Source organism: Homo sapiens, chromosome 5 (assembly GCF_000001405.40).
Source record: "Homo sapiens chromosome 5, GRCh38.p14 Primary Assembly".
NCBI lineage: Eukaryota > Metazoa > Chordata > Mammalia > Primates > Hominidae > Homo > Homo sapiens.
Window position 1 is genome coordinate 88,398,337 of NC_000005.10, and position 26,904 is coordinate 88,425,240.

At 36.0% G+C, this 26,904-nt stretch overlaps 2 long non-coding RNA genes across 6 annotated transcripts in view; one reads left to right on the top strand and one right to left on the bottom strand.

The window, feature by feature from the left end:
* TMEM161B-DT (TMEM161B divergent transcript) overlaps window positions 1–26,904 on the top strand; it is a 167,793-nt gene that overhangs the window by 129,455 nt on the left and 11,434 nt on the right. For 4 of the 5 annotated variants that reach the window (NR_039993.1, NR_105019.1, NR_039994.2 and 1 more), the window contains one exon: window positions 11,737–11,858. The exons of the other annotated variant lie outside the window; for it this stretch is intronic. This is a non-coding gene — a long non-coding RNA (TMEM161B divergent transcript). The remainder of the gene's footprint in view (window positions 1–11,736; window positions 11,859–26,904) is intronic. 5 annotated transcript variants of the gene reach the window in all.
* LINC02060 (long intergenic non-protein coding RNA 2060) overlaps window positions 10,646–26,904 on the bottom strand; it is a 30,109-nt gene continuing 13,850 nt past the window's right edge. Inside the window, exon 6 of the long non-coding RNA NR_105021.1 lies at window positions 10,646–11,609. This is a non-coding gene — a long non-coding RNA (long intergenic non-protein coding RNA 2060). The remainder of the gene's footprint in view (window positions 11,610–26,904) is intronic.

Consider the following 26,904-nt stretch of genomic DNA (forward strand, 5'->3'; position numbering starts at 1 on the left):
GTGAGCATTTTAAGGCATCTCTAAAGCATGTCTGAGTGTTTCTGGGTTCCTTTGGTGGTGGTTTTCTGTGTAATTGGTGCTCTGTCTTTGTGCGAGTTGAGGCTCTGTGTGTTGCTTCTTTCTGGAACAGCCATTTCTCGCTTGTGCCCCGTTTTGGTTAGTGTGTCTGTCTCTCAGCCTCCTGAAGTTGGATAAAGGCAGGATGTAGTGCCTGAAGTATTTTCTTTGATTTTTCTCTAGTTAGAGTAGTCCCTGATGGGGGTTGGGAGATTTCTTCACTCACTTGGGTTCCTAATCTAGAATCTGAAAACTGCTGGGAGGTGGGAGACCAATTTCTATTTACAGCATCAAGGAAAGGATTATTAAACCTCCAAAATCAGAAGTACAAACATAGATTTACACTTAATAAAACAAGACAAAACAAACAGCCTAGCTTCTTTCCCAAAATAATTTTTTTTGGAATTAAAAAAAGATTAAGAAATAGGTTTACTGCCCAATTTTAATATCTAAACAATGCCCAGAGGTGACATGTTAAAACAGAAAATAAAATAAATGTATCTGGTGGTTATATTATATGGTAATCCTAAAGACTGCATTTTCCTTTAAAAAAAAAAAAAGGAATCTGACAGTTTTAATTTCAACGTTGTGGAAGTTTTTAGATTATAAATGTTTTTGCCAATAATCTGTGTATTATTCATGTTAATGATGTGCTTTTTGGTTTATTGTATATTGTAAGTAGTGATTTTCATTTTCTCAGTGTTTTAAACCAAAATATTTTAAAAACATTAATTGTTATTATAAATTGATGGGTAAATATGGCTGGTTTCTTTTATTAAAAGCCAAAAATATGAAGTTGTTCATATATAAATATCACAAATTCAACTTTCAGAAGGTGCTTAGAGTAAAAAAATTATGGCTTTAAGCCCAAGAAAGAAAAAATACACAATTTGCATTTTTTCAATGCTTTTGCTTAACATTTTTTTCATTAGGTTTTTTCCTCATTAGAATTTATGATCCATGTCGATCATTACACTTTCACATTTCTGATTTCTGTTAAATTTTCTGACAGAGGCTAATAAATATAAAAGAGTAAAAAGGCCTATTTGCTTTCATCTAAGGTGCTCAATATTTTCAGGTTATTTGTATTTGCATTGAAATCTTTTCCATGTTCTTAATTTAAATTATTAAAATTTGACTGAAACTAATTCTATTTGAAGCTAAGATGTAACAGGGTTTTTTTTTCCCAAGGAATTAAACAATGTGATTTTGCTAAATTATAACATTTTCTTTGGCTTGAGCCATCTAACACCCTCTCCAACATGGCACAGTTTGGGCTTCATATTTGTGGAACAAGAAGGGTTGGGGGGAGAAGGATGTATATTTGGAATGGTGTTTGACAGGGAGAATGAACGCAGACACCAGAACAATTATATTACAATCCCATTGGGAATGCCAGCACCAAATTTAGCCAGACTGATGGGGTACTGTCTAGACGGTCCCTTTTGTGTATCAGCTGTTTTTTCCCTGCTTTATTGCACTGCCTGAATGTGTGAGTTGAACATGCATATGGATCCCAAGCATAACCATTCCTGCAACCATACACTGCTATTAAACTTCCTCTCATTTGGCTAGGAATCAAAGGTTGTGTATTCCTACTATATTCCCTTTATAATATTTTGTAATTAAAATGCAGCTTCCAGATTAGTGGCTTAACAAAGGTCATAAGACAAAGTAGAAGGTGCCTAGGCTCTTTCTTTATATGAAAAAAAATGTACAAATATACTAGGTAAACATTTCTATCTTCTCAAACATGTCCACCTCTTTTCTATACAAGTAAAAAGAAGCCAGAAAGAAAGGAATTAAAACAATGAGAAGAAAGAAGCACAGTACATGTAAATTACCACCTTTCCTTTTGAAAAGGGCAAAGGATAGAAAGAAAGAATATTTATTTAATGTTTACAGTGTAATTAATGGCAGTGTTTGTGGTTTTCTTTTTTTTTTCTTTCTCATCTTTATTTGGTAAACCAAATGGAGTTCAGTAATCAGTTCTTGTGAAGTCTTAGAAATGGATTTTCAAACTCTTTTAAATACACACTTACACAATTGCTTTTGTGTTGTTGAGCATATAGGAAATCCTAGAGACATCTCAGATCTGGGCAACTGTCAGGATTTTGTTTTGTTTGTCAAGATGGTGCAGGAAGGGTAGAGCTTACTTATATATGAATACAGTATCCACATAAAACATTCGTTGTTCAAAGGGGCAGAAATGCACCCCTAAATAGGAAGCGCACTCCACGGGTGATGGGTACTAAGGTTGGATGCCTTTGCTCACAACCAAGAATTTGAAACGAACTCAAATTCATTATTCCAATTAGAAAGTGAGAAATAGAATAATGCATTAATGTTAATGAATGTAGGTATAAGATCCGCCTCTTTCTGTAAAAGTTTATCAGCAACTTTGTCTACAGTCACCAAAAATTGAAAGGTATGAGAAATTGGAATTCCACAGGATGTAAGTCATTATAAATAAAATTATTGTCTTGTAGTAGGATCCAAAATGAATCCACTGTTTCAGGAAACTGGATCCCACATTTCATAGCACAAATAAGTTTTGTTAATATGTACACACAAACTTTGTTTGGAAAAGGAATTCTACTTTCCATTTGCTGAAATTGTTATCCCTTAGTAAGGAGAAGAGGCAAAAGTTTTACCATAAAGAAAAAAAATCAAGGTTAAAAGTGATAAGAAAAAATTTGTACAGTTACATCCTTGTTTCATGCATTAAATTTTGTCTGACTAAATGGTGGAATTTAGATTTTTAAAATAATAATTTTCTATGCTTTGCTGCTGAAATTTAATAACTACCATCTACTATGGACAACGAAGATTTTATTCATCTTTTGAGGACTGGATATTGAAGAGAGGTCTGTAGGAAAGATAAAGTAAATTGTATTCCCAATTTTACTGAACAGGGTAAGACAAGAAGTGATCTATTTTTTGGTTTGAAACATTATATCAGCAAATCCACAATCATAAAATATGACCAGTGACACAGGATTGGGGAAATTCACTGTCTGGAAGAGGGGAGGAGATTGAACAAATGACATTAAACATGGAGACCTTGAGTAGGCACTTGTAGGCATTGGTGTTAGCAATCTCTGAGGCCTAACTTTGGTACTATTAAGAAAAAATATAACCAAAGGCAGGGGCAGAGGGCAAAAGAAACCAAGACTGAGAAACAGAGAAAGCAAGAGGAAAATGGTGGTGGGTGGGTGGGTTGGGGGTGGGTGGCATGCAGGGGTAGTGAGAGAGAAAGAAAGAAAAGGGGAGCAGAGAATGAATATTCTAAGCATTGTTTTAATCTAAAACAGAGACGCTTCCAGGAGAATGAATTTCAATGGAGCTGAGCCAAAAATAATTATAGAGATTTTCTTGTTTTGTTTTGTGAATGAAGAGCATCTCTTTTCCCTGGAGATGCGAGAGTGAGAAAGAACCAGAGCCAAGAGATTGAAGTGATGCCCCTCTGCCCCTTTACTTCCACACACCACAGTGGCAGACCTTTCTTTCTTCCCTTTTCCAAAAGCTATTGGCACCGAATTGTGCTAGGAAGAGAGGGACGTGGCAGCAGCCCTCAAACCTTAGCTGGGTTTTCTATTCTAACAATAGCTTGTTTACTTGATAAGGCTGAAGTATTGAAATTGGAAGCAAGATTGGGGTTGGGGGGGAGAGTGATACATATTTTAGGTTCTAGAAATAAAATTGAGCTATTTACAACTAAGAATATTCCCCTATTTGAGATACTTGAAACTTCCTTTGGAGTTTGTTTTACCAATTATATTTGTTTCCTTGTTTTTCATCATCAATAGCAAGCTACTAAAGGAAATAAAGTATTCTCTCAATTTTCCTCCATTTTCTCTGTGATGTAAAATCTTTATCTTGGAACTTTTTTTACAGGGAAAAATTGTCATTTGTTAAAATAGCTTGAGCTATGACTGAGTTGTTGTGAAAGCAATATAATATACTCTTCATGAAAGCAGGAATAAAAGGCTTTATACTAATATGAAATACACAGGATTGGAGGAGAAACCCACTAACATTAATAGACTTTTGTGACAGAGTAATCATAAACAACTCAGAATTAATACCTAAAGACTATTAATTTTCTTAAGTTAAATTGACTTACATAAAAATCACACCAGTAAGTACTGTCAGAACCTGGATATTCTCTCCAAATCTCTTATTTTAGGTGTTATGTTGTGTTAAAGACCCTGTTGTCATTTTTATCATTCAGAGATATTAATTCTACAAGTAGGTTTAAGGTATCACTTTTGTCTTTGTGTTGTTGCCTGAGTTTTTTTTTTTAAATATATTTCAGAAACTTAAGAACCAGTTCTTTTCCTCTACATCATATTTCACAACTTGTACAAATTAACATTTATTCTTATAAATATTTGACCTGCTAAGTTTTAACAGTTTAGTGACCCAGTAGAAGAACAGCATAGAGTTGTAAATTTAATGGCTTAACACCAAAACGACCTTGATATGGATTAAAAACAAGAAAAAGTATTTATGTTATATTTGTAGCCAAGATTATCGATAGGCTTAAGGATAAACCTCTCAGAAAGTAGCAAAACTGGATATATTTTCCTTTAAAAGTTTTACATCTTAAAATTGTTCCTGTTTTTCTGTCAAAGAACTATTAACATATATAGTAGTTAGCAGTAAAGATATATGATTTTATTACGTAGATACTTTTTTTATTTTTTAAAGATGAAAAATGTCTTCATGTACGTGGGACTTTATTTAGGGATTTCCAAACATATTTTAAATGTCACTGTGAATATATTGTGTAAATCTGTGAATATGAGCTTTATGAATCCACATTTAATTTAATTAATCATATTGATTCACTTGACATTTTTCTCCTCCTGAATCCCTCCTCCCCGCTTTTTTTCATCTCTCTATTAAAAGCATTTCTTTCACAGTGGTAGACTAATTTTTGAAAAGGATTTTACAAAATAAAACTGACAATGGTTTTTGAAGAACTTTTAAAAGCATTCAACTTAGATTTTTTTTAGGAGTGGTTAAATGAGTATTTTAGAATTCAAAGTACTTAATTACACTAATCTTAACATTATATTTAAAAACCCAATCCCCCTAATGAGTAGTCGACTTTTTAAAGAGAACAATTATTAATAATCACTATGCTGTATGCCAAAATAAATGTATGAAATTAGCAACAAATATTTATCTTTCCATGTTTTAAAAGAAAACATTACCTTTTTAAAAATAAAATAGCTTGCAAAGTAGCAACAGATTTAATAATATTTTTCCATTCAAAATCTCAATAGATACAATTTCAGAATTTATGTTTGGTTATGCTGTATCATTAAAATTGCCAAGAGAAAATGTTAGTCTGCTAAAACATTTAGAATATGGTATATAATAATTTGTTATTAATGGCAATGTAATATGTCACACTAACATGTGTATTTACTATCAAGCTCTACAATTGATTAGAAAATGAGGAGATAAAGATAGATTTACAATGGATAAATGTCCCAAAGATGTTAATGATAATAACTAAGCAAAAATGAATACAGAGCCTTTGGTATGCACACCAAGGTTTCTATATTTCACAAGAGTATACAGATATATGTATACAGGTATGTGCAATATAGATAGATTTGTCATTATTTTAACATTGATCATCATATAATAAAATGGATTTTTAAAGGTTCTATCTTGACAAATTCTTTTCTACACCCAAATTACTAAACCAGTTTTAGAGTTTAGTAACTCAAATTACTAAACGCAGAAAAGTTGCATTTCATTTGAAAGCAACCATGGAAATTGCCCCAAAGGTAGTCTTATTTGTTTGCTCTTTTCATTTTGTAGTGGTATGGAGTCCAGTATATGGCTGTAGGGAGGAGGAAGTAGCAAGAAGCAATTGAAAGGATTAGGATGGAAACTTCCTCGAGCTTCACAGGCTTGTTTGCTGGCCACAGATGCCATTATGGTATATAGATAAGATATGCTTAATATTCAGACTTTAAAAAGAGCCTCCACACTCCTGAAAATTCTGAGGCAAAGCTGAGCCTCTTTCTTTAGGCCATATACTTCACTCCCGTTGGCCCAGGAAGCCTGGCTAAAGATAGTCTCATCCAGCTCACATGCTTGGGTTTTGTCATTTCATGTCATAACCTCCACATTCCTTAAATGTAGTTATAAAATGTGTTAAACGGAAATGCTGATATAAGCCTAAATGTAGCTGTACTTGCTGTTTCTGCTGTAACTTCATTCATGGTAGTGGATTTAGTTAAAAGGCCCAGAACAGCCATGCTTAACAGTAAGGAAGCAAAATCCTCTTGGCTTCAATGAGGGTTAGGAGTATGTAAGAGCAGAATGAACACTAGATATTTGAGATAAATACCTTCTGTGGAAATGTACACATTTCATTGATGTCCTCTCTAATGTATAGAAAAATATGCCACATTATGAATAAAGCCCCATTTGCTTTTTTTCCTATATTAAATGCTATCTTATATATCTTGAACACATGTAATATGCGGTAACATTTATGATAGTAATAGCCGACACCAAATAAGAACTGTTAGTGATCCTTGGTGTCTATTTAATCATAATCAAGGACTACCTGGTAAGCATTAAGTGACAATAAAGGGTATTCTTGCTAAAATATTAGATGAATTGGTAATAGAGAAAATGGTCATTTAGACAGAAAAGTCAACAGAAAATAGCAGTAATTATATGTGCCTTGTACACGAGCATACTGTATTACATTCAATGTACCATTGTACAATGTGCTATTATGAAAAAAAAAAAGCATGGTACCTCTCTTTGGTGATACAGCTGCATTTGGAAGTTTCCCAGATCACAACATTTAGCTTTCACAAATGCTTTTTTGGTAGAATTTCCCCTCCCAGTTAAAAACTGGTTTTCATCACACAACTGGATAATTATTTTTCTGCAACTAACTGTAATTACTTGTTTTGTGCATCTCTACTAGAGTGATTCAGTGTTTGCTGTTCTACCTCATAAAATGTATCTGCATTAGAGGCATGTGAAAAGGAGTATTGACCTTATATAATATATTGCTATATTGGTAGGGGCACACAGCTCTAATTCTTTGTAAAGGGCACAAAAGTCTATATTGCTTTGAGTTTTCCTTTTTGAATGCTATGTGAGTTTTCTGACTAAAGCATAAAATTGGAGGTATCTGAAGACCAGAAACCTCACAACATGGAAATTACTTAGTACACAAAAAGACTTTCTCTCATATAGAGATACAATGCATAACTGAATAAAAAATGCTGTTGGAGGGATTTGTTGATAGTGGCATCATAGAAAACTCTGGAATCATTGATTGTGAGATTTGTCAAGCCAGAAAATCAGACACAGATTTTAAATCATTCAAGAATATCTAATCATTTTATGTCATTCACAAAGCTCTCCACAAATAAAAATGAAAATTAAGCCCCTCCTGCCACAGTCTTCTTTTATCTACAACAGTCGTTCTCTTTCTGTCTTTTCCTTCCAACTCCTATTTGTCTATCGTTCTTTTTTCTTTCAAGTTCTCTTTAATCCTTGCTTTCCCATGTCCCTCCTTAGTCTTACTCACCAGTGATGCTGATAAAAATAAACAGTCTATTTAAAACAGATGAGTCAAAGCCAAAAAATAAATGACTGGTGTGTGCTTTATTATTATTTTTAAAGTAAAACTACACCTGTGACATTGTCTTAAAATTTTTTTTACAATTTTAAAAACAAACTACAAAGAAAATGGAGGAGAACTGAAATACTGTTTAGTGTCTCGAATTTATTTGTAAATATACGTAATGTTAAATGCAGTGAGACTACTTTTGTGCTTACTGATCCCAGGGTGCAGAAAGAATTAGCTTATCCAGGAAAACTCAAAGTCATAATTAGTCTTGTGAGTTATAATAATCGGGTCTCATCCTGCATTTCTTTCTCATGTGGTACTCCCAGTGGGAGTTCTGCATGAAAAAGGACTACGGGATTGGGCATTAATAATGGTATACCTGTGAAATATGAGCATTTTCCTACAGTGCCAATCAGTAAAATTAGAAATCTGCCCCATCTTGGTCTTATATCCTTCAGTTAAAAGAAGAACATCAATAGATTTTTTCAATTCCAAAAAAAAAAACACTCTTAGTTTTAAAAATGCCTCTCAAAATTAGAAAATAAAAATGAGTTTACCCCCTAACTATATCTTTTACACTTAGCTTAGTTATAAATATGACTGTAATTAATTTTTGTTTAAAAAATTAGTAACACCTCAGTTTTACATAGTTTCTTCAAACAAACAGAAACAAAAGATTAAGTAAGAAAAGAATCAATGAAACTCAGTGGAAAACTATCTTCATTCCCAAGGATCTCAGATAAACTTTCAATACTTTTTCCTAATTTGGCTATTCAGGTCTCTCAAACACTGTTGACTGACTAAGCTGACCAATCCAGCCTAAATTAAAGGGGAAAAAAGTGCAATAGCTTGCAAACCCTAAGATGTTGACGTCTTGTGAAATAGAAATATTCCTTCGAAGAATTACATAATGAGGAACTGCTAAGTAGGGTTAGAAAAATAGGCTAAATGGAATAATAGTTGTACACTCATCTAAAGCTCAATACTGCATAGCTTAATAACCCTAAAAATTTAGACAATAGTCCATGGACAAGTGAATAGATAAACAAATCATAGTATAGTCCAACAATGAAATATTAACCAGCAATACAAAAGAATAAACCACTGATACATTTTACAACATGGAAGAATCAACATAATTATTCTGAGTGAAAGGTGCTAGACAAAAATAAATACAAATCATTTATGTAACAGTCTAGGAAATTCAAACTAACGTATAGGGACAAAAGCACATCAGCAGTTATCATTGGAGAGGGTTAGGAGGCAGGAATTACAAAGAGGCATGAGGAAACTTTGTGGGGGGTGATGGATGTGTTCATTATCTTGATTGTGATAATGGCTTCACAGGTGAATACGTAGAGATACATTTAAATTATATAGTTAAATATGAGCAGTTTGTTACATATCAATTTTTACCTCAATAAAGCTGTTAAGGCCCAGCATGGTGGCGCACATCCATAATCTCAGAATTTTGGGAAGCCAGGGTGGTAGAATTGCTTAAGGGCCAGAGTTTGGGACCAGCCTGGGCAACATAGCAAGACCCCATCTCGAAAAAAAAAAAAAAAGCCAAGCATGGTGACACATGCCTGTAGTCCTACCTACTTAGGAGGCTAAGGCGGGAGGATCACTTGAGCCCAGGAGTCAAAGGTTACAGTGAGCCATGTTTGTGTCACTGCACTCCAGCCTGGGTGACAGAGTGAGACTTTGTTTCTAAAATAAGTAAATAAAGCTGTTAAATATAAATAGACCAGTTAAAATGGATATAGCAACCAATCAGAATGGATGCTAGCCAGTAACCAAAAACTTCAAACCATAAGTTTGAGTTATCTGGGCATCTGGGACCATGCATAGTTGAGTGTAAAGTTAAGGGGTGCAGCACACCAACATGGCACATGTATACATATGTAACAAACCTGCACGTTGTGCACATGTACCCTAAAACTTAAAGTATAATAATAATTAAAAAAAATTGTGGGATTCAGACTGCCCTCTTCAACCCCTCGTTGATGTTTATGAACTCTGTTTTAACTTAAAACTTTTTCCATTTTTTCCTGTTAAAAAAAGATACAGTCTTGAATGAGGTGAGCATCACGTTTTAGATTCTTTCTCTAGCAATGCTGCAAACTGTGTGACTTACGGCAAGCGACTAAACTACTGTCAGAATATGACTAGACAATTGTTCGAGGCAGAGGTAAATTGAAATATACCTTTTTCTAGAGAAAATAGAATCTCTCCACCAAGCATTTTGACTTTACAATTGTGTGTTTTATCACAACATCTCCAAAGATTTTTCTCTTCCCTTTCTTTACCACCACATGTGTGACAAAAACGGAGTGGGGGTGTTCACTGGAAGATGTTGTTAGCCAAACAGAAATTCCCTGAATATATTTGCCTATGGTGGATATCACTATGTAGGCTGATAAATTTCAATTTGTTTCAGCCAAAAATTTATTAAAATCCACAATAAGGTGCAAAAACATCTTATTGAGACTATTCTGAAATGAAGCACTAATAACTGATTTACCTAACAAAGTGTCTTGTTTGGTGCAGAGCACATAACTGAGATAACTCCAGGTTGTTATTTTTATTGTTCTATTTTTTACTTACAACTAAGTTTTTAGGTGCATAGCTTGAGCTACATCAGTCCCCATCTTAAGGGAAGAGAAAATAATTTGTAAGAACCTCAGGGACTAAGCTAAAAGTCAATAAACATATGGGAAAAAAGACTGGAAGCAAATTGAATGTATGTGCAAATTGACATTTTACTAAAAGAACATGCTTAGAACTTTGGGTTTATTAAGCATATGTCAGTAAAATCGAAACCAAAATCTATTTAGCAAGTGGAATGTATTTGTGAATGCAGAAATACATGTATTTTACATTACCTGAAAAGCAAATTTTTCCATATTATCATATTATGACTTAAACTTATCCTGATTTTAGAGATATAATATTTAAAATGTGTTGATGAAAACATTTTTATTTAGAGAATTAGGTGTATTTTGGTTTTGTAAAATGTTTGTCTTTTTGTCAGGGTCAGTCCTCATACCTCATAGTTAGGTTTCTAAATATAAGATTTGCAATAAGAAAAATGTATCATTGACCTTGGACGTGAACTTCTAACTGGTCTTATGTTGATGTGTAACTAATTCCTGCATGTTAAACCTTTATACAGTAGGTATGGTTATACTCTTTGTTTTGAATGTTTTATCAAAGTGGAAAAAAATGAGAAAAATTCAACTTCTTTTACTTTTCCTTTGTACTTTGCTCATGTCTTCTGTTTTCCTTTTTAGTGTGTTCTTTCCTCTCACCTTCCTTCACTCCTGTCACTTCATTATTTAGCTAATGATTTTTTTTCTTCTATTAATGTTGGTCAGTGACCCAGACATTGTCTTCATTCTGAAGTGAAATTGATTTAGGCAAGTCCCCTCAACTATTTCTTGACTATGCTTAGGATTAAAGAGCTCTTCAGATACATGAACTATTTCCTTTTGTTCAGTATCTGTGATATTGTTTTCTTTTGTTTAATCTCTTTGCTCAGGATTTTAGTTTTAACTAGAACCAGTTCAGTGACTAAGGAATTCAAAAAACTTTTAAGAGATTCCACCACTGCCACCCCACCTGATTTCTGATGTTCCATATAATCTAATGAAATAAGTACGCCTCCTTTCCCTTCAGACTATGTGAGAAGGGATCCAAAACCAAGCAGTCTGGAAGCCATTACACAGAGAGTTTGCCCTGTGCTTGGCTTCCCGGAACTGGGGACTCTTGCTAGAAAAACTCAAAAGGGCCTTTTGGTATTGAGATGAAGATTTCTGTCCAGGCTGATTTCTTTTCTTGGTGGAATCAACTCTCGCTGCTCAGCTGTGACTTCCTGTTCCTGAGATGCTCAGCTCAATTAACTTCTCATCCCTCCCCGGCTCCTAATCTGAGGGGAGATATAAATCAGCATCGTATTTATTATATGTTATGGCCACATTCTAGATGTCTGTATTTCTTATTAGTATATCATTGACAAAAATCTGCCCTACTCAACTCACTGTATTCTCTTTCAGATCCAATGTGATAATTTATGTGAAATCTTTCTGCAAACTATACAGTATGATAAAAATATAAGGTAGTTTCACTGGAAACAACAGAAGACTAGAAGCTGATGTGACGTGGCAATATCAACCAGGTACATATTTGTTGATTCAGGCCCTTCATACTTTTATTAGATCCTGACATCACCTTGTTTGTGCAAATACACTTTTTTTTTTTTTTTTTTTTTAGCTCAGAGAATCAGATCATTAGGTAGCATCAGTGAGTTGCTCCTTGTGGCATTTTACCATGTTAATATGGAGGTGATGTTGGGATAATTGTCAGCACCGAACCATTTGGACGTAGAGAATATTATAATTTTAAAAATCTTGTCTTCTCAGAAGAAATGTGAAAAAAGTATCTATGGTCAAGACATTTAGATGATACCTTGAACAGGTTTTATCCTCTACTACATTTCCACATACCCACTCTCCCCAAAACCTAGACTTTCTGGCTAGGTGCAATTGCCCTTGCCTGTAATTCCAGCAATTTGGGAGGCTGAGGTAGAAGGATTGCTTGAGGATAGGGATCGGAGACCAGCCTGGGCAACAGAGAGATACCCTGTCTCTACAAAAAAATTAAAAAATTAATTGGCTGGGCGCAGTGGCTCACACCTGTAATCCTAGCACTTTGGGAGGCTGAGGCGGGTGGATCACCTGAGGTCAGGGGTTTGAGACCAGCCTGACCAACATGAAGAAACCCTGTCTCTGCTAAAAATACAAGATTAGCTGGGCATGGTGGCACATGCCTGTAATCCCAGCTACTCAAGAGGCTGAGGCAGGAGAATTGCTTGAACCCAGGAGGCGGAGGTTGCAGTTAGCCGAGATTTCGCCATTGCACTCCAGCCTCGGTAACAAGAGCAAAACTCTGTCTCAAAAAAAAAAAAAAAAAAATTATCTGGGTGTGGTGGCATACCTGTAGTCCCAGCTACTTAGGGGGCTGAGGCAGGAAGATCCCTTGAGCTCAGGAGTTCAAGGCTGCAGTAAGCTATCATCATGCCACTGCTTTCCAGCCTGGGTGGCAGAATGAGACCCTGTCTCAGAAAAAAAAAAAAACAAACAAACTTTTCTTTTTCTCTCATGATCCATTAACATAAAGTCACTTTCTATTTCACTATTATAAATACTTACAAATAGAATGAATTTATTAATTAATAGCTATCATAATCATTATTAATTACTCTTAACTGTACAGCATTTCATATAATCTGTTCCATAATTCTTGCATATCTTTATGTTTATTTTGCCCGTATCAGATTAAATTTCTTAAAACTGAAAAAAGCAGGCCCGGCGTGGTGGCTCACGCCTGTAATCCCAGCACTTTGGGAGGCTGAGGCAGGCAGATCACCTGAGGTCGGGAGTTCAAGACCAGCCTGACCAACATGGAGAAACCCTGCCTCCACTAAAAATACAAAATTAGCCAGGTGTGGTGGCACATGCCTGTTATCCCAGCTACTTGGGAAGCTGAGGCAGGAGAGTCACTTGAACCCGGGAGGCAGAGATTGCAGTGAGCCAAGATCAAGCCATTACACTCCAGCCTGGGCCACAAGAGCAAGACTCAAAAAAATAAATAAATAAAAATAAAAACAAAACAAAACAAAAACCAACATCAACAACAACAACAAAATTGAAAAAAACAGAATACAATCTTCATATTCTATTGTGTACATTTCTTGTATTTATCAACTAAGCAAGGGATGTGGTGACCTGACATTTTTATCTATACAAGTTTGTAACATTTGGATAGGCAAAGAACAATTTTATCTACTTTCATTAACATTTTCACCAAAAATTAAGAGAAGGTAGTTTTCAAAGCCTAAGAATTATTTGCAAGAACTTGATATTGATTGGAAAACAAAACATTATTTTATTATTATTTTATTTTTTATTTTTGTGGATACCTAGTAGGTATATATATCTCAAAACATTATTTTAATTTATGCCTAAAGAAACTTATTGTTCAGAATCTACCAATTTCCATGTATTTACTTTAGCTAAAATGACATCCTTTGCTATACGCATTATTTATCTGTAACTAATTATTTTTACAGACTGTTTACTACCTAAAGAACAACGTATCATGTCAACACTTTGTCTAATACAATGGCAAGCAGCAAGAACAAATTGTACAAAATCCTGTTTCAAAATAAGCAAAATTATGCTAAGGGGGAGACCAATGTAGCCTAAGCAGATATCAAAGCAGAAACAGAGAGTTATATATGAGATAAAGGCAAAGTTCTTTGCCTTAAGATCTCCTAGAATGAAGTTGAGGTAGAGGCGCTGAAATTGACATATAATTAGACATATATTTTATCTTTTTCCAGAATAGTTTACTGAATTATTCCCTCCTATTGACCACTTGTGACTCAATACAGTCATCTCTAACTGTGGATACAGTTAAAATATTTTACCCCACTTCTTAAGACCATGTATCTCAAGGAAGATGCTACATGACATCTTTCAAGATGCCATTGTATAAGAACCTGCAAGTGTACACCTGGTTTATTAAAAATGGTCTGGATAAAAATAAGATATTCTGCAGAATCCTATAAATCCCTCTACTGCTGCTCCCTGGTTTCTGTCTGTAATTCTGGTTGGTTTCAGTAGTTGCTGATCCTTGGTTCTTGTCCTTGCCTTAGAATTTGGCTTTTTCCTTATGACACTCGGTAGTCACATTTAGCTGCCTTTTATATCCCACCTGAACTAAGGTCCCCTGGCTCTTTGGTAGTACTCTCATTGCCTTCTTCCTGCAGTCTTGTTGTACCTAGTTCCACATTGTGCATTGTCTGACAGCTGTGTCAGGTGTCTTATCTATTTTAGCATACATGATTGGTCAGTTCAGGAAAATAAGCACTTTATTTTTATACTTAGCTGACCACCTGGGAGGCCAATTAGGAAACTGCTGCATAAAGTAGTCAAAGACTGTGAGATTCAGAACTAAGGTGGTAGCAGCGAGGATGGAGAAATAAAAGGTTTAAGAGCTGTTAAAGACAAAATATCAACAGATTTGTTGACTGGTTGGGTAAAGGAGCAAAGGACAGGGAAATTCACGGATCATGCTTTATTTCTGGCTCAAAATATTGAGGTGATATGAAGCCATTTATTGAAGTGGTGAACAGAGGAGGAAAAGCAGATTTGGGATGAGGAAGATGTGATGAATTCAGTCACATAATTGAATCATAGGTGTGTCTGTAAGACATCTAAGTTGTGATGCCTGGTGTTTAGTTGAATATTGCATCTGCAGATCAGGCAAGAATTTTGGCTTGGGATAAACATTTGAGAATAGAGTATTTCTAAAAGGACCTAATGGTTAAAAGTGTTAAAGAAAGTCAAGGAATCACATACAATAAGGAATAAAACCTATTGGATTCACCACAAGAGGCTATTGATGAATATGGCAAATGGAGTTTTAGTGATATGGTGGGGGCAGAAGCTAGAATTCAGTGGATGGAGAAATAAATTGGAAAGTAAGGGAACAAAATGTCCTACCTTACGATAACAAGCAGATTTTTATCTCCTGTCAGAGTTAAGAGCCAGAATTACTTACATATTTTCTAAAAAATTTAAAATGAGAGATCTTCTACCTCTCTTCCACATCTATTCTCTATTTTTCCTGTCGAAGTATGTCTGCTGGTGTTTATTTTAAAGAAAAAACCTATACAAAATGTTTAGCACAAAGCTTTACATAAGTGCTCAAATAATGTAACTATAGCCATTTCTAATTATCTAAATCTAATCCACTCCTGAAAACATGTGAGAAGGCAAATTTTTGTGTAACAGAAGCAAATAATTTATATTGTAAATGGGAAAAATAATAATGCATTCTTAGTACATGCAAAAACCCAATTTCTCCAATAATCAATAAAACTCTCTTAAACATTTATTTAATAATCTACTAAGAATTTATGCATTATAAAAAGCACCTAATACTTGATTATTTAACATTTAATGAACACATTATTGGATACATTTGTGTAAATTATAGACAGCTTCAGATATTAACTGCATTTTCCACCTACACTGCAATTAGAACATGTGTTCTAGTATAGACAAACAAGAAGATAATATAATATGTAAAAAATACATATTGATGTAATTTACATAACAATAAAAGAGGACTTTTTAAAAAAATTGTTACTTTCCTGAGGATTAATGGTGAAGGAGATCTTTTCATTTAATAATACGTGCCACCTTTAAAGAAGGAAAACATGAAGCACCACCCTATCCAGATGATTTTTGAAAAATGAATGCAATGTGTTCAGCATTCTCTTGTACAACTCTCTGGAAATTACATGGAGAATCCTTATAACAGATTTAGATTCAAATGCTAAATTTGGGATAAATGTTCTAAAAAGTCCATAGTACTATAATGTGCACCTATAGTGTAATATGAGAGTGCAGTTGTTATGGGATATGGGCAAAAACATAGCAGAGGAGTGGTTCTAAATTGGGGATGATTTTGCCCCCTGCCCTGGGAGAGTGGGCAATGTTTGGGGACATTTTTGGTTGTCACAAAATAGAGGTCAGGGATGCTGCTGAACATCCTACAATGCACAGGACAGTCCCTCACAACAAAGAGTAATGCTGCCCAAATATTGATAGTCCTGAGGCTCACAAACTCTGAAAGAGAATAACGTTCAAAGCCATTTTCTGTGTAGAGAACAATGATGAAGTAAATTTGTATACAGGACAGGGCCAAGCTAGGGCCTTTAGGATATTCAGAACTGATGTTGGAGAAATAAAGTGTTGGATGGAGGTGCAGTTGGTTACAATTTCATGCAGAGTCCTGAATGTAACATGAAGAGTTTAGATTGAAGGCTTTATTTTTATTTTATGTATTATTTATTTATTTTAAGAGACAGGGTCTGACTGTGTCACCCAGGCTGGAGGGCAGCTGGAGTGGGTGTTGCAATCACAGCTCACAGTAGTCTCCAACTCCTAGGCTCAAGCAATCCTCCTGCCTTAGCCTCCTGAGTAGCTGGGAATACAGGCTTGCCACCACACCCAGCTAATTTTTCAATTTTTTTGTAGAGACAGGATCTCACTATGTTGCCCAGGCTGGTCTCAAGCTCCTGTTCTCAAGTGATCCTTCCACCTTGGCCTCCGAAAGTGCTGGGATTACAGGCATGAGCCACCACACTCAGACGAGATTGAAGGCTTCAGTGAAAAAGAGTGATGTGATGAGAATGAAGTTTGAAGATTTGTAGGCCACTTGAATATGTTCGGGAGAAGAGACACTGGCATCATAAAAATCCATGTGGGGCCGGGCGCAGTGGCTCACGCCTGTAATCCCAGCAGGTGTGGTAGGCTGAGGCGGGTGGATCACCTGACATCAGGAGTTTAACACCAGCCTGGCCAACATGGTGAAACCCTGTCTGTACTAAAAATACCAAAATTAGCCGGGCATTGCGGCGCACACCTGTAATCCCTGCTGCACGGGAGGCTGAGGCAGGAGAATGACTTGAACCCGGGAGGTAGAGGTTGCAGTGAGCCGAGATCGTGCCACTGCACTCCAACCTGGGCGACAGCGCGAGACTCCATCTCAAAAAAAAAAAAAAGTTTAAAAATCCATTTGGAGTGGGAAAAGAGCAGCATATGCCAGGACTGTCAATGGAAATATAGACAAAGGGTGGAACTAAACCAGTATTTCAGAGAAAACCTCAATTGGAATAAGGAACAGATTGAATATTGCAAAATCAAGGGTTGGAATAAATCTATATTATTAACATAGGGAAATACGCTACAGTGGAACTTTTCATGAACAGTATAATAAATACAAGAAAGGGAGCTGGTTTTGGTGGGGAAAACGAGAAAAAATATATTACATTCAGTTTTTACCTTGTTACACATCAGGTATGGATGAGACATCCAAGTGCATGAAATAATGTTAATTAGTACAGGAGTTTTTCAACTGACTTGTAATCTGAGCACTAACTCTGCACAATGTGTCATACATTTTTTACATGCAATCTCCCTTAAATTTCAAGGAATTACTTGGAATTACAAGGAGAATGATCTTACTACTCCCATTTTATTGATAAGAAGACTGAGGCTTAGCAAGGTTAAATGACCAAGGTCCTACAACTACCAAAGCAGTGAACTAGACTTTAACCCAGTGTCTTCTAGCTCTAAGTCCTGGGCTTTTTACTAAAATAATTTTCTTTCAGTAGTCATGTCTGTTTCAGTTACTTTCACACAGTCTCCTACAACCACATCTTTATTGATTTTATTACGTCACTTCCTCTAGCCGTACACTCTCATACACACACACACTTTTTAAATACCTTTTTTTGTTCTTTGAAAAGCAATACTTGTTAATGTAGAAATTTGGAAAACACAAAAAAGCACAAAAGAATAAAAATCATCATTAATTCTACCACATAGAAATAGCTACTAATAAATATCTCTTAGGTCATGATATAAATTTTTACCATTTTTCTTTTTCTTTTTTTCTCTATTGATGGTTTTCTTGATATACGGTGATATTTCCAAAGTAAATCATGAGGAATTAGAAAGAGGATATTAAGGAAAAGCATGGTACACAAGCTAGAGAATTAGCTCTCAAATCCATAAAGAAGAAACTTGGGTGGGGGTGGGGAGAGAGACTGGGGAGAGGGTAATTTCTAGAATCTCTTTTTGCCCAAGGATCACTAGGAACTTAATAAATCTTAGTTCATTTGTCATCTCTATGCTCAGCTAATGACAAGATTAAATTGAAGCTACACTTTACTGAGTGCTTATCATTTGCCAGGCGCAGTACTAAGAGCTTTACTCACATTATCTCATTTTATCCCTGCAGCATATTTCCAACTTAGAGAAGAAGAAACTTAGGCTTAAAGAGGTTTTTAAGAACATACCCAAGTTCCACATCTAGTAAGTGGGGAAGTGAGGATTCAGAAACAAATTTGTGTGGCTACAGAGGCAGTATTATTCTTTGCTATGCTGCCTCCTCTTGATGAAGAAATCAGGTGTGAAGTATATAATTCAGGAAAGTCAGTCGGAGAAGAGCTGAAAGAGATCTTGGGATCTCTGGTACAGAACACATTCTCATGGTTTTTAGCCTCAGACTCTCTTTTCTGTTCTTTTGTAGGAGTGGGTGGACATTTGGCATCCAGGATGTGGTTCCAAGCTTGAGCCATGGGATGGTTTTTATCTATCTTCATCAGAAGGGAGTATGCTAAAGAACACATATGAGATTACTGTGTGTCTGACACACAGTAGGCCCTTAATATTAGTTTGCTGAATGCACAAAGGGAGGGAACTTCACCAAACTGAAGATCATTTCTCAGGAGTAACTTTAATAACAAGCTGAGGCACAAAATCCCACTAAAGTTTACCAGCTACCTATTTAGAATGGCTGAATTTTAACAGATGTTGACTGACTCTCTTAGGAACTTAATATTATCTGCTACATTTCTTTTTTTTCTTTTTTTTTTTCTTTTTTTTTGAGATGGAGTTTCACTTTTGTTTGCCCAGGCTACAGTGCAATGGCATGATCTTGGCTCACTGCAACCTCCACCTCCCGGGTTCAAGCAATTCTCCTGTCTCAGCCTCCCAAGTAGCTGGGATTACAGGCATGCGCTACCACGCCCAGCTAATTTTGTATTTTTAGTAGAGACGGGGTTTCTCCATGTTGGTCAGGTTGGTCTCTAACTTCCGACCTCAGGTGATCCACCTGCCTCAGCCTCCCAAAGTGCTGGGATTACAGGCGTGAGCCACCATGTCCAGCCTACATTTCTTAAAGTCAGAATACTGCTCTTGAAAAAAAAAAAAAAAGAAAAGAATATTACAATAACATTGTGTGATTAGAAGTTATCACATTTTGGCTGAAATTTAAAATAAATAAAGATCTTTTGTTTTTGAAAAAAATATTTGGGAAACATAGTCTTTGGTTTTCAGTTTTGCACTGTTGATGGAGTTGTTATGGAAAAGTAAAGACTTTAAGTGAATAAAGTTTGGGTGCCTTTTTTCAGCTAGTCCTCCAGCTTGGGAATATTCCACCTGTCTGTGGAAACATGCCCTTCCTGTGAAGCTTGATGTCAGCCATTGATTTTACGTGAAGGCCTGTATTAAGCTGGGTGCAGTGGCTTGTGCTTGTAACCCCAGCTACTCGGGAGGCTAAGGTGGAAACATCACTTGAAGCCAGGAGTTTGAGACCAGCCTAGGCAACATAGTAAAACATTGTCTCTGCAAAAAATGTTTAAGGATTAGCCAGGTGTGGTGGCATGTGGGGACTGAGGCAGGAGGATTCCTTGAGCCTAGGAGTTTGAGGCTGCAGCAAAATATGATCACTCCACTACACTCTGGCCTGGGAGACAGAGCGAGAACTTGTCTCTTTAAAAAACAAAACAAAAGAAAATTAACAAAATATGAAGGCCTCTATTGGCCTAGTCACTCAAACGTATTTTTATACATAATTGTTGGGCAGATAGCCTGCATTTATTTTAATGATAAATGTATCAGTGCTACTGTTCCCTGAGGACTTCACATAAAGGAAGATATTTATCTCTGGAATTTTAGCCACATTACAATGAAAATAAAATGCAATTAACAAAATATTAATGCAAGTGTATTTGAAGATCAACTGCCTAATGGTTAGGTCTATATTATTCTCTAACTTCCTGAAAGTCAATACATAGCAGAGGCAATGAGTTAACCAGCCAATCAAAATCACAATATCTATCTACTTGTGAGTCTATTATTAATTCTTTAATAAAATGCATGGCTGGATGAGAGTTCATGCTTCCTGGTCTTTTAAAAACTTTTAGTCAGACTGAGTTGCTACTCTGAAGTCTGAGATTATTTAACATTATTTTTTAACACTAGACGACTACTGTAACACTATAGGAAGTAGACAGAATCATGGAACGTTAGAGCAACAAATGACTATCTAGGTCCCTTCTCGCCTTTTCCCTTAGAGATGGGAATACTGAAGACCAGTAAATACAGGAGAGTTGCTCAGTGTCACACAGTTAGTGGTAGAGCTGGGCCTGGAGCCCAGGGCTCCTGATTCCCAGGCCACTGCTCTCCACAACACCAAGTCACAGAATTTCAAGATCCCACCCAGAGTCTGATTTTGCAGATCCTGTGAGGAACTTGCCTAGCAGTCTGTGGACCCAGACTGTGTTCATTTATTTTTTTTCTAGACAAGGTAAAGTAGGAATTAAGTAGATGAAGGCATAAAGGAGCAACTGAAACTTACGTGAACTTGAAATTCTCTCACAGTGGCAGATGCCATGGGGATTTTTTGAGACTGCTTCTGGTGAAGGTGAACCACCCATCTACTCAGAAGTGAGTGTCAGGAATGGCTAGCACTAGCTTTAATTTTAGAAATTGTCTTTAAGACTCAAGATGGATAGGTTTCCTTGCAGTTACTGCCAAGTAAAATGGAGTATTAAGAATATTGATATTTCAGTTGCCATTATGCTGTTTTATGTTGGCAGTAGAACTAAAAACCAAAAAAAAAAAAGCAGTGAATTATCCCACTAATTTTCTATTGTTATTTTCAATATGAGTCTGCTTTAATTATTATTTTTACTTCATGTTGGATAATGAAAAGATTATAAACTTTGGTCATTTGTGTAACTCTAGCAGCAAAGGGGAAACAAAGGGGAAAGTAAAGTTTTTGAACTGAAGTTTTACTTTGTGTGTAACTATACAAGCTTACGACAAAAAACCACATACAAACAAAACTATGAACAAGTATAGCAGACATAGTTATTCATTTCTGCTTTTAAAACACTTACTTTTACTATATGAGTGGCTACTGGTAGTTATAACAAGTTAAAGATGGTCGAGTAATTTTGCAGTATACCAAAACTGCACCAATTCTCTATTAAAATACAACGACTTTGTCAAGTTGATCCCAGCATTTGCCTTTCAGCTCTGACAAAAACAGTTTTGATTTATTTAATGACATTTTTCAATCTGATTGTTAGATAAAGGTATTTTACAACAACCAAATCAAGTTGACCAGTTGGATTCTCATTCCTGCTCTTATTCACACTTCCTTATTACCTTTTCGTGTCCGAACAAGTTACCCAGAGTCATGGAGTATAGAGAGGAGTCAGCTCTTTTTACAAGATGCTTGTGTTTCAGCTTTTTGAAGCACCAGAAGAGGAATGTACCTCTCCTCTGTGTCTTTTGTGTGTCTGTAAACTGAAATTACAGATCTGCAATATAATAAACTGTTAAGAACAACATTCAGCCCAGTTTTTTTCTGGGATGAGGAATATGGATCTCTAATGTGTACAGGATAGTTTTAGGAAGCGTATGGATAGTGAATAACGCAATAAGAAAATTAGCCTCTTTCAGGTTTTTTGAGACTTCTAATTATATCAAGAAGAAAGTCTCAGTCTGGTGCTAACAAAGAAGTCTCTAACACTTTTATCTTCCTTTTTGAGAAACAGAAGACAAGCCTCAGGCTCAGCGTCTTTAGCAGATAACTATGTAGAGCCAGAATTTAATAATACTGTATGGTTTTCATTAAAAATATAATTTTTTGGGTTACCAACTATATGGATGACACTTTTTTAAATGGCAGATGCACAAAGCTTCCTTTTAAAATATGCTTAAAGTTAAAAATAAAAATAGAGTTAGTTTAAAGACAAACATTAAGTGAAAATTAGTGCAGTGAATATAGCAGTGGAAATATTACATAATGGCTGTAGTCAGTGACATGGTAAAAAGCACGAGGCTGCTGTGGTAATGACTATATCTTGGGGAGCTGGCAACCAACTCCCTCACTGGACAGATGTGAAACCCAAATCCCAGAGAGGTCAGAAAATCATAAAATCAGGACTGCTATCCGTAGGCCACCTACCAAATGGATGTTACCACTTTATTTGACAGCTTGAATCATTTTTTCAAAATGGCCTTTTTTCCATCACTTTGTGAACAATATACATTAAGTTTGAAGTTGAAAAACAATAAAACTTGATTTCTTCATCCCCACATTATGACAAGATTGACTTGGCAAGGTTATTGAAGAGGAACTGTTAGAAAAATGAAGCCAGAATTGTGAGACATGACTTAGTGAGAAGGCGAATGGAAAAGAATTCCTTCAATATAAAATTTAACTTTAAATTCAAAGCTAAAGTAGGGTTATTTTCTCTTTTGAGGCTGGTTTGCAAAGGTAAAAGTGGGTTTTGTTTTAAGTTTACAAGTCTCGAATTCTTGAAAACATAGCAAGACAAACTTTGAATCTTTTTTTTAAAAAAAGTACAGGCTTTTACAGAAATGAAAAACTGAAATGCTCCTAGAAAAAGAAAGCTTTAAATTAAGAGGAAATTCTGTGTCTTAAAAATATCATAATTAAATGCAGTTGAGGAAAGAAATCGACAGATTTTTGTGAAATCCTTGTGTTTCTGTGAGGTTTGAGAAGGATGCAGGAGCAACTTCCTCCTACTGTGCAGGGACTCCAACCACACTGATGCTCCAGCCAAGTAAACAAACATTCCGAAGGACAAAGAACAAAATTTCAGAATGACAGAATGGTCACTTCTGAATTAAAATGGACTTTTTAAAGTCAATCTTTAATTGACTTAAAAAATTAAAAACTTGCATATTTGGCTGGGTGTGGTGGTTCACACCTGTAATCCCAGCACTTTGGAAGGCTGAGGTGGGAGGATCGCTTGAGGCCAGAAGTTCAAGACCAGCCTGGGCATCATAATGAGACCCTGTCTCCATAAAACATTTTACTTTTTTTTTTTTTTTTTTGAGATGGAACCTTGCTGTGTCACCCAGGCTGGAGGGCAGTGGTACAATCTTGGCTCACTGCCACCTCCGCCTCCTGGGTTCAAGCTATTCTCCTGGCTCAGCCTCCTGAGTAGCTGGGATTACAGGCATGCACCACCACACCCAGCTAATTTTTGTATTTTTATTAGAGACAGGGTCTCACCATGTTGGTCAAGTTGGTCTCAAACTCCTGACCTCAAGTGATCTGCCCACCTTGGCCTCCCAAAGTGCTGGGATTACAGGCATGAGCCACCGCGTCTGGCCAAAACATTAAAAAAATTTAGCTGAGCATGGTGGCAGACGCCTGTAGTCCCAGATACTCCAGAAGCTGAGGCAGGAGGATCACTTAAGCCCAAGAGATTGAGGCTGCCATGAGCCATAATTGTTCCGCTGCACTCCAGCCTGGGCAATGAAGCGAGATCCTGCCTCAAAAATTAAATTAAATTAAATTAGATTGAAAACTTTTCTCTTATCACCTTGTCTACTTATTATCTATTTATTGAAGCCTGTCTCTTGTTGGAGTGGAGGGAATGAAAAGGTGGGCAGCAAAGTCAAGCTGGTTCATGCATTGATTGGATGTTAAAATCAATGTATATGGAAAGAGGTAAAATAGAGTAAGACATTTAACACATTTTAAAATCCCAGCCAGATGGGAACTAATTTTTTATCCTTTCTCTGCCTCAGTTTTCTTTATTCAAATAATGAGACCAATAGACCTCTGTGTTATTGGGTTATCTAAAGAAATAACTAACAGCAATTAGTGAAGTATAAAACCAAGGGTTGAAATGGGAAATTACACTGCGTATCCTAATGTCTAAATCACTCCCAGGTTGTGAACTAGGGACAGAGAAAAGTTATCACCCTTTCCAACTAACTAATATTGTCTCATCTTGAGGATTTCCATTTTCAGACCCCACCCTCTGGCTCTGACATGTTTATTCCTAATTCTGAGAGCCCAGCTGAATAGTCATTGGAGAAGTTTCAGTCCCTGGGAAATTCCAAGAAATATCATTCCATGCACACCATGGACTCTAGAATGGATATTCTTGGGCATTAGCTCACCAGGAAAGGGAACACTCTGCTGTACTCTGTTAGATTTTCTTGCAAGGATTCATGAGCAGATCTGTTTCGGATGCAGAATGTCTGAGCAGAAACAGAAATGACAATCATTTGAAATTGGGGATCACTTGTAAGCCATTTTCACAAAGGCCTGAAATTCATCTTTACAGTTCCTTGATTCACTCATGAGACTGCCATTCATCTAGTAGCATCATGTCATGTAGCCCAGCCCAGGTGATTTGAGAGTTTGTTTTAAGTGTCCAACCTTTAGAAATGTCTCTCCTGTAATCTCTGAAAAGAGGATGGTGGGGTAGACTAGAGGCAACACTGTTTGTGTGTGGATTCCACAATGCTTCTTTAAGAATCCATGTCAGTGTGAGTTAATTTGATTTATGTAACCCACAAATTATTTTTAGGACTTTGCCCAGGGTCAACTGCTTTATGTGTATTGCAAATCTCCCTTGTTTCATCAGGGAGGAATCTGACACAAAGAGCTATTTACTTATTTATCAACACAAAGTCACACATAGTTGTGTCATAATTGGAATACACCCTGATACTCAGCCTCCCATTTGGATGTTTCTTTTTCTTTTCATTTATTATTATTATTATTATTATTATTATTATTATTATCATCATCATCATCATTATTATTATTTTGGGACAGGATCTCACTCTACCACCCAGGTTGGAGTGCAGTGTCTCCATCTCAGCTCACTGCAGCCTCAACCTTCCAGGGCTCAGGTGATCCTCCCACTTCAGCCTCCCAAGTGGCTGGGACTACAGACATACACAACACACCTGGCTAATTTTTGTAGAGATGGGGTTTCACCACATTGCCCAGGCTGGTCTCAAACTCCTAGGCTCAAGCCATCCATCCGCCTTGGCCTCCCGAAGTGTTAGGATTACATCTGCGTCCAACCAGATGTTTCTTTTGCAATGTAATTCCCAGTAGCATTCTCTATCTCAGCTTTTACCCTATCTGACTGAGATCAGGAAGGACTGTTATTTCAGGTCTGCCTATCCTGGTCATTTATGAAGGGTATTACAATGGTCACATTTTACAGAAAAGGAAACAGTCTTAAGGAGAGGAAAGAATATACCCTAGTTGATGGAAGAAAAGCCAACTAAGTTAGCCATAAAGGTATTCATTCCTTTTGGTTAAAAAAAAAAAGTCATTTATCTTTGCTTCCAGAATTTCAGACCCAATGATCTCCCATCTTTCATGTCATCCTCTATAACTGGCTTCCTGCTTAGTTCTCCTACTCATCAAGTATGGGTTCACATTATTAGGCTTAATTAAAATCACTTGGCAGATTTTTCCATATTGTCAATAGCACACATACCTCTGCTCTTTAACCAATCACAGAAGAATTTTCTTATTCTCTATTATCCTTTAGGTACTTAAAAAGAGCTTTAAATAATGTTCAAAGGAAGCCTCTATCAATTGCAACTTGAATAATTCATTTGTAAAAAAATTAAAAATTTGTAGTGAGATATTATAAATGGAAAATGTTATTGGATCCTTTGTTTCAGAATATTTGCTTGAGGAAATGACCAAAAACTTAAAATCTGTTATAACATTGACCCCTTAGAGACATAATAAACATGGAAAGAGTGAAGAGTGTGGAATTGTTTAAAACCTGGTTTTGTCAAGGTAGATAACTTTACGTTGTGTATATTTTTCTCTTCCTTATTAATGGTACAAGCAGATAATTATGTTGAATGTTAAATGGCTCCAGGACAATGAGAATTAAATTGGCCTTAATAATAATGTGTTTGATTTTTGCCCACTCTGACAATATAAGGACATGCCCTCCCTGGGAAAGTTCAAATGAGAAAATTGTCTATCTTCTATTCCTTCCTAAATAGTGGCTCCTTTAATAATAATAATGAATATCAAATTTTAAGATGGCTTCCTCTACCATGACTTCAGTTTATATTCTGCTTTAGGGAGAAGTTGAAATCTCTGGGAGATGGTTGCACTCATTAACTATTTACATTTAGCATATATTTGCTGAGTACCTGACATGTACTAATCAGATACTCTACTAAATGTTAGGGACAGGCAAATGAGTAAGACACAGGCCTTGGACTTGGACCAAGGAGAAATATGTTAAGAAAAATTAATCAAAGCACATGTTTTAGTGAAGAAGTTAGGAAAGATTTCATGGAAGAGACCATATTGGATATGGTCCCAGAAGACTGAGTTGCCGTTTATTGCTTGAAAGAGGGAAGAATTATGGAGAAGGGCAGAAGTAAGAAAGTTGGACATTTTAAGTTCAGGAGGTAAATATCTCAAAGTATTTCAAGATAAATGACAACTGGTCTTAGAGTTTTACAAAATTT